The 18,474-nt window shown below is 40.4% G+C and overlaps 1 protein-coding gene across 37 annotated transcripts in view; it reads right to left on the bottom strand.

Moving 5' to 3' along the window:
• Positions 1–18,474, bottom strand: part of GDA (guanine deaminase) — a 145,262-nt gene that overhangs the window by 69,763 nt on the left and 57,025 nt on the right. The window contains exon 1 of one of the 37 annotated variants that reach the window (XM_047424101.1): positions 2,619–2,718. The exons of the other annotated variants lie outside the window; for them this stretch is intronic. Within the exon in view, the coding sequence (XP_047280057.1) occupies positions 2,619–2,648 (30 nt within the window). The 5' untranslated portion in view covers positions 2,649–2,718. Of the gene's footprint in view, positions 1–2,618; positions 2,719–18,474 lie in introns of those variants that run through there. 37 annotated transcript variants of the gene reach the window in all.

Here is an 18,474-nt window from a genome sequence, read left to right as displayed (position 1 = left end):
GGAAAGAAAACATTAACAACCTACTCTCACAATAACTAACCCACTCCCTTCATAATGGCATTAATCCACTGATTAGAGCTTCATCCCTATGACCCAGTCACTTTTTAAAGGCCCTACCTCTTAATACTGTTACAATGGCAATTAAATATTAACATGAGTTTCAGAGAAAACAAACATTCAAACCATAGCATTCTGCCCTGGTCCTACAAAACTCATGTCCTTTTCAAGTACAAAACATATTCATTTCTTTTTTTTGTTTTGTTTTCAGATGGGGTCTTACTCTGTCACCCAGGCTGGAGTGCAGTGGGCATGATTTTGGCTCAGTGCAACTTCCACCTCCCAGGCTCAAATGATCCTCCCATCTAAGTCTCCAGAGTAGCTGGGACCACAGGTATGTGCCACCACGCCTGGCTAACTTTTGTATTTTTGGTAGAGAAGGGGTTTCACCACGTTGCCCAGGCTGGTATCGAACTCCTGAGCTCAACTGATCTTCCTGCCTTGGCTTCCCAAAGTGCTAGAATTACAGGCATGAGCCACTGTATTTGGCCTAAAATAGATTCATCTCATTCCAGTAGTCCCAAAAGTCTTAAGTGGTTGTTCCAGCATCAATTCAAAAGTCCAGAGTCTCAGGTCAGGCGTGGTGGCTTACGCCTGTAATCCCAGCACTTTGGGAGGCTGAGGTGGGAGGATCAATTGCGCCCAGGAGTTTGAGACCAGTAGCATAGCAAGACCCCATCTCTACTAAAAAAATCAAAAAAATTAGCCAGGTATGGGGATGCATGCCTGTAACCCCAGCTATTCAGGAGGCTAAGGTGGGAGGATCACTTAAGCCTGGGAGGTCAAGGCTGCAGTAAGCTGTCATCACACCACTGTAGTTCCAGCCTGTGTGACAAAGTGAAACCCTGTCTCCAAAAAAAAAAAAAAAAAAAAAAAAAAAAAAGTCTAGAGTCTCCTCTGTATCAGATGTGGGTGAGACACCAGACAGGATTCATCCATAGGCATATTCCTACAGCTGTGAGCCTGTGAAATCAAATAAGTTATCTACTTCCAGAATACAATGGTGGGGCAAGCATAGGATTGACAGTCCTGGACCAAAAGGGAAAAATAGGCAAAAAGAGAAGAGTAACAGACTCCAATTAAGTCCAAAACCCAATGGGAAAAAACACTTTAAGCCCTCAATTTAGAGAATAATCTTTGACTCCATTTTCTGCATCCTGGGCACACAGGTCTTCGGCAGCCCCACTCCTATGGCTTTCCTAGACCCAGCCCATGCTTCATAGGTTGGAGTCTCCTGCCTGCTGCTCTCCCAGGCTGAGGTTGCATGCTAGTAGCTCCACGATCCTGGAGTCTCAGTGCCAGTCCTGCTCCCAGGGCTCCACTAGGCATTACCCCAGTGAGGACTCTCTGTGGCAGCTCTGGCACTAACCCCAACCCCACATTTTTGTGCAGTATTGCCATAGTTGGGGCTCTCTGCAGTGGCTCTGCTTCTGTGACAAGTCTCTGCCTGGGGCTCCAGGCTATTTGCAACATACTTTGAAATCTAGGTGGATGAAGCCATGCCCCCATAGATCTTGCATTCTGCATGCCTGCAAACTTAACACCACATGGATGCAACCAAGATTTGCCACTTGCATCTTCTGAAGTTGTGGCCTGAGCCACACATGGACCTGCTTGAGCCATGGTGGGAGCAGTGAAAGAGCTCTCTGCTGGAATGCAGGAAGCAGAGATGTGAGGTCGGTCTGGGCAGGGAGCCTGTGTAGGTTGCTCCTAGCCCAACCCCTCAAACTATTCTGCCCTCTTAGAACTCTGGGCCTGTGATGAGCAGGGCAGCCTCAAAGATCTCTGAAATGCTTTCAGGGTCTATCTCCCATTGTATTGATGGTGGCTCTCTTCTGTCTGTGTTAATCTCGTCAGTAAATGGTCTCTTGGTTCCACACTAGAATGCTTTTTTGTTGTTTACATGGCCAGGCTGCAAATTTTCCAAATCTTTTCACATAGCTTCCTTTTTCATTATAAATTCCATCTTTAAATCATTCCTTTCCTCTAGCATCTTACTATAAGCGGTTAAAAGTAACCATGCATCAGCCTGAATGCTTTGCTGCTTAAATATGTCTTCAGCTAGATATCCTATTTCATCACTTTTAAATTCCACCTTTCACAAAGCCCTCAGTTATAGACACATTTCAGCCAAGTTCTTTGCTACTTTATAACAAGGATGGCCTTTGCCCCAGTTTCCAATACCTTGTTTCTCAGTTCCATCTGAGATCTCATCAGAACAGCCTTTACTGTCCATATTTCTATCAACATTCTGGTCATGACCACTTAGGTAATCTTTAAGAAGTTCAAAACTTTCCCCAGTCTTCTCTTCTTCTGAGCCTTCACCAGAATCACTTTCAATGCTCCATTTACAGCAATCTAGGCTTTTTCTAGCCTGCTTCTCCAAATTCTTCCAGCCTTTACTCATTGCCCAGTTCCAAAGCCACTTGCATATTTTCAGGTATCTATTATTCCAACAACCCTGGTGTTGGTACCAATTTTCTGTCTTAGTACATTTTCTCCTGCTACAACAGAATACCACAGATTGGTAATGTATAAAGAGCAAAATGGGTTTGGCTCACCGTTTTGGAGGCTAGGAATTCCAAGAGCATGGCACCAGCATCTAGCCAGAGTCATCATACAGCAGAAAGGTGGAAGGGCAGGCAAGAGCATGTGAAAGAGGGAAGCACTCGAGGCCAGAGTCATTTTATAACAACTCACTGTCAAGATAACCACTACTATGGTAACAAGATTAATCCATTTATGAGAGCTCTGTCCTCACGGCCTAATCACTTCTGAAAGGCCCCACCTCTTAATAGTATTACAATGGCAATTGAGTTTCAACATGAGTTTCTGAGAGGACAAACATTCAAACCATAGCAGGTGTCTAAATAATGACAGTGCTTATCTCTTTAGGAAAGAAGTTGAGAGTGACTCCACTTTCATCTTTACTCCTTTTTAGATACAAAGTTGTTAATAATAAATGTCTTATTCTAGCCAATGTACTAAAAATATGCATTAAGTGTATATGAAAATGCAAAGTATGAAAAATAGGAATATATATGCATAGTCTCTACTCATAGAGCTTAAGGTTTAGGAGTTAAGACAGGCAGAGGTAGAAAATGAATTAGACATGAGAAGGGAGGATGAGGAAGTGCAATGGCCCTGTGGGTTCCAATGGAGAGATAATAAGTGTGATCAGCGAAGATTTCAAAGAAAAGGCAGAACTTGGACAGTGGTTGGTAGGACTTGGTACTTGGTAAGTATCCAGGGTTGTGGGAAAAGGGATGGAAGGGGTAACAACAGGAGCAGCAAAGAGGCAAAAAGCTACAAGATGTGAAATAGACAGGAGTATTCTGTAAATAACACGGAAGTGTTGGGTTGGGGAAAACCTTAATTCACAAATCAAGTATTTAATAGATTTTTGTCTTGCTTTTGTTCATGTTTTCACTCAGAAAGTACTTCCTGAGTGCTTCCTGTATGCTCAGGATTATTCCAGAGACTGGGAACAATAAATTGATGAAGATATACTTCATAGTGAGGGTTATGGTGAAAATAAAGAGAGGTAAATAGACTAAAATGTGGAGTGTGATGGTTTCTCTGAAGAATGAGGTTTAAGCAGAGACTTGCATAAAAGGAGAGAGTGAACCACTTAGACATTTGGGGAAGAGCATTCCAGGCAGAGGGAATATCTAGCAAGGACCCCAAAATGGGAGTGTGCTTGGCAGGTTCTGAAACACCAGAGAGGCTAGTGGGGATACAGTACAAGGACTACAAGAAAGACTGATAGAAGATCAGATCAGAGGTAGCCAGGGATCAGCCCTGAGATTTATTTTCAGGTAATCTCTAAAAAAAATTTGGAAAGCAAATGTGGCAAAATTACAAAGTATGATTGATGCTTTCTTCATGGGGCTACTGCTTTTTCATCCCAAGGTTTCCTGGATTTATGCAGGAAACCCGTTCACTCATTCACCATCTAGTGGGTACCCACCATGGCCAATTGGTCTTCCCCTTCACAGGCCACACTCTAGGTGGGCTGTTAAGCATATACACAAGTCATTAAAAACCAAGTTTCACAAATAATAAAGTCATGGTCCCAGCTGGCAGGTATCTTCTCAACTGGCCCCTTGTTTTCCAGATGAAATTGATTCCCTTCTGCTAAGCAAACAACTCCAAGTGCTTTCTTACTTGAAACTGGGACTATTTAGGATGAGCAATAATGAGAATGTCGGGAATACTAAAGCCAAAAGCAGATGAGTAATGGCTGTCAGCTAATGAAAAAAACTGCTGCAAGATACAGGCTTCAAACACCAGATGGCAAATTTGGGCAAGAGGCTTGTTGCTATGGAACAAAGTAAACTGCTCTTTGAGCCACTGTGAAATAGCTCAGCCATCCAACAAAATAAAAGAACATATTTCAATCTATTATACAAAATCCACTCTTACGTCACTGTGAGGGGAAATAAAACCAGATAAAAATATGAGGTCTCAAAATTTCTTGAAGTTTTTGAACAGAGACAAAAATTGCCGTATTAGCTCAGTTCATGTCAAACAGATTAATGGAAAAGAGAGATGAAGTGAGATTGCCTTAAAATAAAAACCAAAGTGGGGGAAAAAACCCCGTCGGACTAGTACAATGGGGCGAATAATGTTACAAAGGCATCAAAGAATAGCATGAGGCATGAGGGACTTAGATCTTCAGATCCAATATTCTCATTTCAGAAAGAAACAGGCCAGGTTATTTTAAATGCCTAAGGTGCAGGGGAAGCCATATCTCCTAAACTAGACATGTCTTCCGAGATTCTTCCAAAACTTTATGATTGCTTCTGTAATAGTATAAACCAAGGATCAGCACAGTTTCCCTAAAGGGTGAGACAGTAAATATTTTAGGCTTTGCGGGCCATATTGTGTCTATTGAACTACTTAAATCTGTCGCTGAATTGCAAAATCAACCATAGACAATATAGTAGCAAATGGCTATGGCTATATTCCAATATAAGTTTATTTACAGGAACTGAAACTTGCATTTTATGTAATTTTCATTTGTTATAAAATCTTCTTCTTCTTCCTCTTCTTCTTCACTTTTTTTCAATCATTTTAAAACCATACTTAGCTCACAGGCCATATAACTCAGTCAGGGAGCTGGATTTGGCCTGTGGCCTATAGTTGCCAAGCTCTGATATGAACTCCTAAAAAGATGCATGTAAATTAAAATTATATAACTTGAAAACCATCCCAGTGGCTTTCACTAGCATTTCTCTGAAACTTTATATTTATTTATGATTAGCTTCCAAATGGAAATAACATTTAACATTTTTCTTTAACGTCAGGGACTGATCAAATGCCCTTGGTATTTGATCAGAGTACAGACTCTGGTGGCTTACAAGTATCATTCTGTAGTAGAAAACAAACACTCCTTGATAGATGAAGGATGTACCTTTAGGAAGCAACCAAGATGTCCTTCAGTAGAAGAATGGATAAATAAACTGCGGTACATCCAGAAAACGGAATATTATTCAGTAATAAAAATAAATGAGCTATTAAGCCACGAAAATACATAGAGAATCTTACATGCATATTACTAAGTGAAAGACACAAATCTGAAAGAGCTTCATATTATATGATCCCAACTATATGACATTCTGGAAAAGGCAAACTATGGAGACAATAAAAAATCAGTAGTTGTCAAGGGTTGGAGGGGGAAGGATGAATAGGCAGAGCAGAAGAATTTTAGGACAGTGAAAACACTCTCTATGATACTATAATGGTCAATACATCATTATACAAGTGTCCAAAACCACATAATGTACAAATCCAAGAGTGAGCCCTAGTATAAACTGTGGACTTTGGTTGATAATGATGTGACAATGTAGGTTTATCAGTTGTTGCAAATGTAGCATTCTGGTGGGGGATATTGATAATGAGGGGGCTGTGCATGTGTCCCGGCAGGGGATACATGGGAAAGCTCTGAACCTTTCTCTCAACTTTGCTGTGAACCTAAAACTTCTCTAAAAATTAAATTTTTAAAAGATAAGTGCAAAGATTCAAGATTTGTAATAGTAATTTAATGTAATGCTTATGTTGCAAAGTGGTATAAGGTATAGACAGTCAAATCTGAATAAAGAAAATAATACTCATGGAAGGAAAAACGGTAACTTTAATAACTCTTCTGATCTCTGTAGAAGACACCACTAATAAATCATTGGTATTTAACACATTTTTATTAGAAATATAAAGCAACATATTCTAAAATGATGGGATGTCTGATAATAATAAAGAGATTAAAATATATTTCCTATGTGCCAAACACCATCCTACATACTTTACATGTGTTAACTTGTTTAAACCTCACAAGAACCCTATGAGGCACTATTACTAGCCCCATTTTGCAGAGGATAAAATTGAGGCACAGAGATGTTAAGTACCTTGCCCAAAATTACGCATCTGGCAGGTAATAAATCCTGAATTTGAACCCCAGTTGCCTACAGGCTAACGGCCATTAGACACTACGTTATGTATTTTTTCATGTAATATTTTAAAAACCAAACAGCCTTTTCCTTTTCTTTTTTTCTTTATAAACTATTTCTTTGTGCCTTTCCTTTCCTTTTCCTTCCATTCATATAGCCCCAGCAGGTGGGCCTGGTGGATCCAGGAATGCAGAGGTAGTTGGGGCTAAGGGAGCAGTCAAGGCTGAGAATGCTAATAGGGTCAGGGGAACTGGGGTTGGAGAAGTGCAGTGTCAAGGAGGCAGGTGGAATGGGCAAGGCTGTAGCCGAGGAGACAGTCCCCAGGGTCAGGAGATTGATTACATATAGGAGTAATATATATTTACATATATTTACATACATACATATACATTACATGCACACACATACTAGCTTTATCTGCTGAGAGGCCTAGAGACAATGAAACCCAGATGCAATCAGCACCCCTAGTTCTCAGATCTTGGTTTCTAAATACCATTCTCCACAAAACAGAACCAAGTGACTCCAGGGCTCATTCCAGGGCTCTGGTAAGGAAAATACAAGATGAATCTAGAACATAATTTTGTGCCAAAAGTAAGGAAGTGCTAGAATATAGTCAGAAAGTAGTCAAAAGGACAAAGAAGCCACTCTAAACAAACTCCCACTAGGTAAATCTGGGCCAATTTGAGCATCAAAATAAATAAAAATACTAACAAATTAAAATCCAAAGAATAATATGGGAATCCATGAGTCCACAATGATAAGTAAATGAATGAGTACATGAGTGAGAATGGAGAGTTCTTTCTTCCAGTGGAATACCAACTAATATATGTGGAAGAAATTACACAATTAGAAAATGAGCATTTGGCATCCATCATCATAAAAAAATGATTCATGCAAAAATCATCAATGAACACTAAAACTAGTGGGTGAAAATTTGTTGAGAAACAGGATATTTATATAATTATCAAAGTATCTCCCCACAAAGTTTATTTTACAAAGAGAAGTGCAGAAAGCTGGCCCACACCACCTCAGCCGAGTGACCAAAGTTAACATCACCAATAACGGGACAATTCCACATCCTGTGCCTCCTGATATGATGTACTGAGAGCACAGCATCATTTCTCCGATGTCCCTGCCAAAAATGCACGACCTGAATCTAATCATGAGGAAACATCAGACAAACCCAAATTAAGGGACAGTTTGAAAAAAGGAGAAACTCTTCTATATTCTTGAAAATTATCCAGAGCATGAAAGACAAAGAAACACTAAAGACCCATTACAGATGAAAGGCAACTAAAGGAATGTGATACATAAATGGAGCCTGTGGTTCTGGAGTGGATTCTGAATAAGAGGAGGGGAAATAGCCACCAAGGGCATTATTGGGCCAGTGGGCAAAGTTTGAATGGGTCTACAGATCATGTGGTAGAATTATACCTATGTTAATTTCCTGACCCAGATAATAATTCATGATTATGTAAGGCAGTGTCCTTATTTTTTAGGGAAAAAAAATAAAGTATTTAGACTCCAACAGCATGTCTATAACTTACTCTCAGTCCAGAAAAATGTGTGTGTGTGCGTGCATGTGTGTGTCTACCTATATATGTAGAGAGAGTAGAGAATAATGAAGCAAATTTTGTAAAATATTAGCACTGAGAATCCGGGTGAAGTCTATAGCAGCATTATTTTGTATATTCTTGTAACTTTTTGAATCATTTTTTAATGAATTAAAAATAAAAAATTTTAACTGAAAAACTAAACAGTATATTATTTGGAAACGCAAATATAAAAAGTGAAAGTATAGGCTGGGTGCAGTGGCTTACACCTGTAATCCCACACTTTGGGAGGCTGAAATGTGAGGATTGCTTGAGCCCGGGAGTTCAAGGTTGCAGTGAGCTACCATCACGCCACTGTGCTCCATCCCAGGTGACAGAGCAAGACTCTGACTAAAAGAAAAAAAAGAAAGTGAAAAAAGATAGTGAGGCCAGGCGCGGTGGCTCACGCCTGTAATCCCAGCACTTTGGGAGGCCAAGGCGGGTGGATCACCTGAGGTCAGAAGTTCAAGACAAGCCTGGCCAAGATGGTGAAACCCCGTCTCTACTAAAAATACAAAACTTAGCTGGGCATGGTGGCGGGCGCTTGTAATCCCAGTTACTCCGGAGGCTGAGGCAGAGAATTGCTTGAACCCAGGAGGTGGAGGTTTCAGTGAGCCAAGATCGCGCCACTGCACTCCAGCCTAAGCAACAAGTGACACACACAAAAAAAATTGTGAAAGTATAAGTAAAAGTAAGGACATGATAAGCATAAAATTTAGTATAATGGTGATAAGGGAAGGGAACGGATATTGAGAACACATAGAGCTTCAAAGATAACCACAGTTCATCACATCCTTATTCATTACACCTTACATAGACATTAGAACTGTACTTTCTTTACCCAATGAGTTAATTAAAAAGAAGAATCACTTCAAAAAAATAAGTAAAATGCACAAAGATCACCAGAAAAATGTATGAGTGAAACCAAATTTTCTACTCACAATAAATGCTATTTTTAAAAAATCAAAATCTATTTCATGTGAAATGCACACATTGGTAATCTGTGGAACACCCAAAGTGACCAAAAGGAAAAAACCACAGAAGAAGCGAAGGCAATGAGGAAACACAATAATACAGATCTCACATTTGTAGCACCTCAACACCAGCAATCTAAAACAAGGTCATAATCAGTCCCGTGTTTTGATAAGTAGTCGGTAATATGCTAAACAACCCTTGAATATACTTGAAAACTTGTGAATCACTTTGGGATGCAAATTGTTACTGCCTAATTTATTTTTTTTTCCTAAATTCAGAATCCTCTGATGCTTAACCAACTTGTGGAAGAAGGAAACTGCTTAGATGTGTGTAAAATTAACACCAAGCTCGGAGTGAAATTCACCATAAATCTCAGCTCTAAAGTTAAATGACACATTTGAATCCTGAAATCATCAAACAAGCAAATAATTTCAGCAGCTGCCTCACAAAAGACATCTTCAGAGACTACATTCAGCAAGTAGACAACTAAGAATTAATTTAGGAAAAGCACTCACTCTCTCTCTCTTTTGAAAAACTGAAAGGCAGTATCAATTGACCATAAAGTTGATCTCAATAGACTGTATCAGATACACAGACATTGATTTAAAAATGCAGGCACACACAAAAGTACTCCCTACACAAGCCTATTCCTTTGGGCCTTTGTTATTTTTATTTTTTTTGAGAGGGACTCTTGCTCTGTTGCCCAGGCTGGAGTGCAGTGGCGTAGTCTTGTCTCACTGCAACCTCTGCCTCCCGGGTTCAAGCGATTCTCTTGCCTCAGCCTCCTCAGTGGCTGGGATTACAGGCACCCACCACCATGCCTGGAAAATTTTTGTATTTTTAGTAGAGATGGGGTTTCACCATGTTGACCAGGCTGGTCTCAAACTCCTGACCTCATGATCCGCTCCTCTTGGCCTCCCAAAGTGCTGGGATTACAGGTGTGAGCCACCGCGCCCGGATGGCCATTTTTAAAAAAACTTGAAATCTGCCTTGAAGACCTGGTATGAGTTGAACCTCCCCTCCCACCCCAATTTAATATGTTACAGTCCTAACCCCCCCCGCCAGTAATTCAGAATGTGACCTTATTTAGAGATAACATCTTTACAGAGGTAATCAAGTTAAAATGAAATCATTAGGATAGGCCCTAATTCAGTATGACTGGTGTCCTTTTGGACACAGGAACACATATAGAAAGAAAATGAGTTGAAGAGACATAGAGGGAAGACAACCATCTATGAGCAAAGAAGACAGGCCTGGAACAGATCCTTCTCTCAAAGTCCTCAGAAGAAACCAACTCTGCTGATTCCTTGATCTTGGACTTCAAAATTCTAAGACAATAAATTACTGTTGTTTAAGCCTCCCTGTTTGTGGTACTTCATTACAGCAGCCCTGGGAAACCAGCACAGACCCTATAGGAGGAGGGTCATAAGACTGATCTGTCCTAATAAATCGACAGGAAAACACTGCAGAAACTCCCTTTTTCTTGCCTGTAGTCACTTCATCTGAGATAGTTTGAAATGGTCAAACACACTGGATTTACTGAAGGATCAAGATTCTGCTATTTACTAGCTCTGTGAACAAGAGCCAATCCCTTAACCTCTCTGATTTACCATTTTTGAAAATAAAGTAATGATATCTGCCATATCTCCCTTCAACTCTATATAGACAAAATATTTTAAAATAGAGATATGCCAAACACTCCAGTGAACTGTAAAAGTTCTCTGTAAACATAAGGTATTACCCATAGTGTTAATTTTTGGTAGGGTAACCAGAGTGGCATTTCAGGACACCACTACTGATACAATATGCTTTGATTTCAGAAAGGCATCTGATGGCACCAGACAGATAACTTTGTTGGACAAGCTCGAAAACGTCAGGCTGGATGACAGCAGAGTTGGAGAAATTCATAGCTGCTATATATTCCTACTTAAAAGGTTGATTAATAGGATGAGGGAAGTATGGCTGGAGAGCTCTTAGAGAACTCTGGAAACATATCATTGAGCTCGGCCCCAGCCATGTTCTTGCTAATGGCTTACTGTGAAAAGGATAACAATTTGGAGAAGACAGTTTGTTTACTAGATAGCACAATCCAGCTTTAAAAAGGCAGAGACCCCATATATATGTACAAATATTATGTATCAGAAAATTTTTAAAATGTCAAAAATACAGCCACAAGCTAAATGGAATGTATGTAAAATCCTACACTTACATTTTACACAATTCAAATGCATAGGTAAAGACATATGAGACTTGATTACAGCGAGGACCAGGAGCTTAAAATAAGCAGCACAGAACAGTCGCCCATAAAAATCGATTCCAGGCTGGGTACGGTGGCTCACGCCTGTAATCCCAGCACTTTGGGAGGCCAAGGCGGGCAGAACACCTGAGGTCAGGAGTTCGAGACCAGCCTGACCAACATGGTGAAACCCTGCCTCTACTAAAAATACAAAAATTAGCTAGGCGTGGTGATACATGCCTGTAATCCCAGCTACTCGGGAGGCTAGGGCAGGAGAATTGCTTGAACCCGGGAGGTGGAGGTTGCAGTGAGCCGAGATTGCACCATTGCACTCCAGCCTGGGCAACAAGAGTGAAACTCCATCTCAAAAAAAAAAAAAAAAAAAAATATCGATTCCAACTCCAGACCAATTCGTAAGCCTACAGGCAGACTTTGCTTTGCATGAATCTGATGTACATAAATTTCCAATACCATGATTTAGTTAAATAATACCAGTCCCCTAACAACATGGTTCAAATATCAATTACCATGGTATATTAACTGTGAGTAATTGAATAAAGTGCAAACTTAGTTTCTAGTTCTGTAGTCCACAAATCATTACATACATAACAGACGTGCATCATGATCAGTAACCAACCACACTCCTTATTCCAAAGTATGTGTGGCTAGTCACTGTGCATCTATTATTCAGGTCACACATTGACATCAAAGCATGTAGCTGTGTTGCTTCCTTGCTTCCCAGCAGTAAACCCATGTGGCATTTTATAAGAATGGATAATGAAGAGAGTGAATTGGTCAAGAAACATGAAAGTACAGCAAAGAAGTGAAAAGTGACAACAGAGTAGCGAGGTGGGAATCGGACCTAAATGTAATTATACAGCTAACCATAGCAATGTGGTCACTGCCACTGTCAGAGACTCTAAAGTCTACAGCCAGAGGAACTTAGCAAAGATGAACTTGTCAACATAAATGTGGATAGTGATTAAAGGTATCTCCAAGGAAATGATACCAGCAAAAACAACTTCACATTAAAGGAACTCTCAGAGATGTTTTATAATACTGAAAGCTCAAAGGATATAATGTTGAAAGCTGATACAAATTTTAAAAGCAGGATGACAATTTGCCGAAGCAAAAATACTCACTCTGTATTATTAGTTATACAAGAAGAAGGAGTTGGCAAGCACTGTTCAATCTACTATTGATGTTTTTGTTTTTTTTTCTTTTGCAAAAGTATTTTAATCCTCTGTATTTTAAATTCTCTATATCTTTAATGTAATATGTAATATTTTAATTACAGAATACTAATGAATACTAAATGAACACTAGTTTTACTAATTTTTGCATTTAAATTTGAAATAAAATTTTTAATTTTAACAAGTTTTAAAGTTTTAAAAACAGATGTTTTGTCCAGGCACGGTGGCTCACGCCTGTAATCCCAGCACTTTGGGAGGCCGAGGCGGGTGGATCACAAGGTCAGGAGTTTGAGACCAGTCTGGCCAACATAGTGAAACCCCATCTCTACTAAAAATACAAAAAGTTAGCCATGCGGTGGTATGTGCCTGTAATCCCAGCTACTTGGGAGGCTGAGGCAGAAGAATGAAGTGAACCCGGGAGGTGGAGGTTGCAGTGAGCAACAATCGTGCCACTGCACTCCAGCCCAGGCAACAGTGCAAGACTCCATCTCAAAAAAAAAAAAAAAAAAAAAAAAGCAGTTTATAAAGGTCTCAGAATGATCATCATTTTTCCCACTAGGATCACTTTGCATTATTTCAGGTTTCACAGTCATTTTTCAGTCCTCCACTATTACGCAAAGTGAGGAAACCCTTGCTGTGTCCCTTTATACTTAGCGCGGGCTACAGAATTAGTAGTGTGTTTTCAGTTCTGGAAGGATAAACTGAATCAGAATGTTTTCACAAGGAGGTGACCAGAATGTGGAAGAAGCCTGGAATTAAAACACGAGAGGAAGCTCTGAATGGAACAGACAAAATTTCATCTGGAGAAGAGAAAAGTTAAGATTACCACAGTTGCAAATATTGGAAAAGCCATCATGTAAAAGTGCCATTCTAGAGTAGCAGAACTAGCTTTAATAATGGAATATCCACAATAGAGCTTTCAATTTCATGAACAGAAAAAGCTTCTAACAATTAACACTGGATATAAGTGGAATTCACTGACTCACAGTGTAGTGAACTCCTCGTAGTTGGAAGTGGCAAGCAGAGGGCTGAATGACCATCTGTCAGGGATGCTGTACCCGAAATTAATTCCTACACAGGGTGAGAGGGGAGGCCCTATCCACAGCTCAGATTTCAAACACCCATGTGGTGTTCTAAAATACGCCCACAAAATCTTCGACACTCTTCCCTTCAGAAGGTGGAGCCGAGTTCCCTCCTTCACCCTTGAGGTGGGCCAAACATAGTGACTTGCTTGGAATGAAGCATTCACCACACCGTGTGACTTTTAAGACTCGCTCATAAAAAGGATGGCTTCCATCTGGCCCTCTCACTGTTAGGTTGTCTAGGGGGAGCTTTCTAGTCATAGGGTAAGAACACTCAAGTAGCTCTGAGAGAAGCTCTTGTGGCAAGAAACCAAGGATTCCTGCCAACAGCTAACACTAGCTTGCAGTCATGTGAATGACCTTTAACCTCAGAAGTGGATCCTACAACCTCAGTCAAGCTTTCCAATGACTGAAGAACTCACTGACATCTTGCCTGGGACCTCTTACCTCCTGAGCTCAAGCCACTCAGCTAAACTGCTCACAGATTCCTGGATGCACAGAAACTGTGAGGACAATACATTTTTATTGTTGTTTCAAGCCCCTAAGTTTTGGGGTAATTTGTTATACAGCAATAGCTAACAAATACACTCCCTTTTGCCTTGAACACTGAGGTTACATTGCAGTCTTAAGAAGCCTTCTCACACAGCTTTTTGGTTATTTGTTTTTTGTCTTGCCGGTTTCCTTATAGCAGACTCAAACCACAATTTCCAAAAACTAGTTCCTATTATTGAAGGATAAATGATTATCCAAAGGTATTCTGTTGTAAAAGTAGAAAGTGGGGAAGGACTCTAAAATTAATTCTTCCCACTCTGACTGATTTTCACCCCACATTCAAATCTACAACAAAAGATTAATGCAGTCTCACAAGTAGAATTTAAAATTCTCCTTAGCACCATAGAAGTCCTTCAAAAGGTTCATCTTTCAATTGCCAAAAGTCAGTGACACAAGGGCTGGACTTAAAGGCCCAGCCCAGACATCTTCTATGAACTCTGGATCCAAATATTTGAAAATTTCCTTCACATCTCATTTGTGTTTCTCAAAGTCAACAGGTCCAAAACAGAGTCCATGATCTTATTCCTGAACATGTTCTCTTTCCTGGGTTCCGTTCCAGAGAATGAGACCACATCAATTCAGGGCACAATCCAGAAACCTCTGACACATCTCTGTCGTACCCCCTGAATAGAACCTCAATGGGGCTGGGTGTGGTGGTTCACCCCTGTGATCCCAGCACTTTGGAAGGCTGATGCAGGAAGATCGCTTGAGCTCAGGAGTTCAAGGCTGCAGTGAGCTATGATCATACCACTGCACTCCAGCCTGGGTGACAGAGTGAGACCCTATCTCAGAAAAATGAAACAAAACAAAAACTCAATGGCAATGGTTTCCCATTGCATTTAGGATAAAGAAAATGGTTTATAATATGTCCTATAGGGTCCTGGGTGATTTGGCACCTACCTGCCTCCCCAGCCTAATCCCACTGCAGCCATCCTATACCTTGCTCCTCCCTCTGCCTTTGCTCTCTCGGCTCCACCTGGTCCCATTTCAGACCCCCTAAGCACTCTGCTCCTTGCCTCCATACGGCCTTGACACATGATCTTCCCTCTGGATGGAACACTTTTCCTTTCTTCCTGTCCAATTAATGCCAAGGTATATTTCCAACTTCAGTTTAGCTGTCCCTTCCTTAGGAAGCTTTTCCAATTCCCCATCCCCACTCTGTCTCTGTCTCTCTGTCTCTGTCTGTCTGTCTGTCTCTCTCTCTCTCTCTCTATATATATATATATATAACCTCAACAGTTCCCAATATATAACCTCAACAGTTCCCAACAGACCCGGCCTACCATCAAGCTGTGTACCTCCTCAACACATCATTCATGAAGCAGTTTTGCTTCTCTCTGTGCTTCTTTCTACCCTGGTCCCACTCCCAATTAACGATCCTCATAGCACCAGGCACTTCTCTTTTATCAAAATATGACAGTGGTTCCATACACAAAATCCAGAACCAAGCTACCTGGCTTAAATCCTTTCCAGCTGTGTGAATTTGAATCACTTAAACTTTCTGCACCTGTTATCTCATCCATAAAGTAGGAAGTAGCAGTTATGAACAAGCTGTGAAGATTACAAGAGACAGTATATGTAAAATTCTTAGGATGATGCTAGATGGATGGCAGGCATTACATAAGTCTGAGCTGCTGTTTTATTGTAGTTGCAATTTCACATTTCTTCATAATTATTATTTTATTCATATCTGTCTTTCCTATTAGACAGCAAAATCCCCAAGGGTGGACATGCCTACTTTTACCCACTATCATACTCTCAGTGCCTGGCACAGTCTTAACACATGAGAAATCCTAATGAGCACCTGCTGAATAAATAAATGAAGTTGATATAGGTCTTGAACTCCAGAGAACCTTGAAGTGTCATGCTAAGGAGTTCAGAATTTATTCTCTAGAAGTTTTTAAACAAGGGTCACATAGAACAATTAATGGAACAATGGTTGTAAGGTAAGTTGGGAGGAGAGCTTAGAGACAGGGAGAACCCTTAGCTGACCATTTGAATGTTTATCTGAATAAGGGCATCAACCAGTGTAGAGAGGAGCAGAGAGAGAGAAGAAAAAGAAATACCCCATGGGTGGTATTTTGAGGAAGAACCCACACAACTTGCTAGTACACCAGGTCTGGAGGAAACTGTTGAGGATACACACACACACACTCACAGAATGAGAAAATGAGGACAAAAGAACAGAACTATAAAAGTCAGGGATCTGTGAATGTTACCTTATATGGCAAAAGAGACTTTGCAGACATAGCTAAATTATGGATCTGGCTATGGGAAGATTATCTCAGATTAGCAGGGTGGACCCTAAATACAATCACAAGTGTCCTTAGAAGGGGAAGTCAGGGCTAGGCTTGGTGGCTCACGTCTGTAATCCTAGCACTTTGGGAGGCTGAGGCGGTTGGATCACTTGAGGTCAGGAGTTTGAGACCAGCCTAGCCAACATGGTGAAATCCTGCCCCTCCGAAAAATATAAAAATTAGCCGGGCGTGGTGGCACACGCCTGTATTCCCAGCTACTCAGGAGGCTGAAGCTGGAGAATCACTTGAACCCAGGAGGCAGAGGCTGCAGTGAGCTGAGATCGCACCATTGCACCCCAGGCTGGGCAACAGCGAGACTCCATCTAAAAAAAAAAAAAAAAGAAGGGGAAGTCAGAGCAGTATTTCACCAGAAGAAGGCAATGTGATCACTTACGCAAGATGCTGCATTCATGGCTTTGGAGATGGAGGGAAGTTCCTGGAACTCAGCATAAAAGGAATGTGGCTCTAGAAACTGGAAAAGCAAAGGAGAATCTAGAGATTCCCCTCTAGAGCTTCCAGGAGACTGTAGCCCTGTTGACACCTTGATTTTGGACCAGTGAAACAGATTTCAAATTTCTGATTTCTAGAAATGTGAGAGAATCTGCGTGTGTTGCTTAAGCCACCAAGTTTGTAATAATTTGTTATGGCAGCCATAGGAAAGTACAAACACTTAACTCACTGTGTTATAATTTGCAGTTAGGGTATTTGTCTCCCCACTAAAGTACAACCTTCTCAAAAGACAGTTATGTTCTTGTATCTTGGTATTTCCAGCACCAAACAGAATGCTAGACATATAAAGGCACTCAAATAAATGTTTACAGGAGGGTTGGAAGGAAGGAAGAAATTAGAAAAAGAAGAAAAGAGAAGAGGGAGTTTCAAAATAGAGTAATTGGTTAACAAAAGCCTATCCTTAAACATATGAAACTAACAAATATAGATGCAGAGAAGATGGGCAAGGTTGAGTTTTGTGTTCTCCATCTCATTCCCCAGGAAGCAGCAATCCTAAAACACACTTGCACAGGCCACATCCAGGTATGGTGTAGGGGTTAGAGAGGAGGTCCTAGCGCAAACCCTAAACCCCAGCCTTTACTCTAACTCTTGTCCTAATCCACTACAGAGGAGTTAAAGATGTCAACCCCTAGTCAGCTCCCTGTGAAAAGCCAAAGTGTGCAGGCCCAAGAACCACGAAGACCTAGGTTTGAATCCTAGCTCTGCTTCTTACTATCTGCAAATTCTTGGGCAAGTTACTTAACTTTTGTAATACTCAATTTCTCACTTACAAAGTAAAACTAATAATTCCTCAGAAGAACAAATGAGATAATGAATGAAAAGTAACAAGCATAGAGTAAGTATTCAAGAAATGTTACTTTTTGTTATTTCTATTTTTCTAGCAAAATCAGACACATAATGTATAATAAATATGATATACTATTATATATATATATATATTAGATTGTATGTTTTGTACACAACCCCTAGAAAAATACGTAAGAAACTGGTAATAATTGCCTCCTGGGAGGGGCAATGGCATGTCTAGGGCACAGGAACAGAAAAGGACTTACTATTCACTATATAGCCTTTTGTACACTTTGAATTTCCTATCATGTGCATAAATTTTTTAGGTGTTTCTTACAATCCCAGCTCTATTTGCCGTGTAACATTATCAACTCATGTAGCATGTATCAGCTGTGTAACATTGGCAACCTGTTACTTAATCGCATTGCACCTCAATTTCTTCACCTGTGAAATGAGAATAAAAAATGTTACTTTTCCTCATGAAGTTGTTGTGAGTGTTAAATGAGCTAACACAAGTAAAATGCTCAAAAGAATGCTTGGCACAGGGTAAGCATTCAATAACATCAGCAATTTCACTTTTAGAAATATGGTGGGCAAGATACCCTGAGGGGCCTTTAAGTTATAAAATAACATTATAATGTACAAGACCTTTTAGGTAGCACTTTGCAGGACCTAAGGGAGAATATGAAGGTTAAAGGGGAAAAAAGAGGAAGAAAAAAAGAGATTCTAAGCTGAAATGGGAGCCGTG

Source organism: Homo sapiens, chromosome 9, assembly GCF_000001405.40.
Source record: "Homo sapiens chromosome 9, GRCh38.p14 Primary Assembly".
Classification (NCBI taxonomy): Eukaryota; Metazoa; Chordata; class Mammalia; order Primates; family Hominidae; genus Homo; species Homo sapiens.
This window is presented reverse-complemented; position numbering and strand designations above follow the sequence as displayed.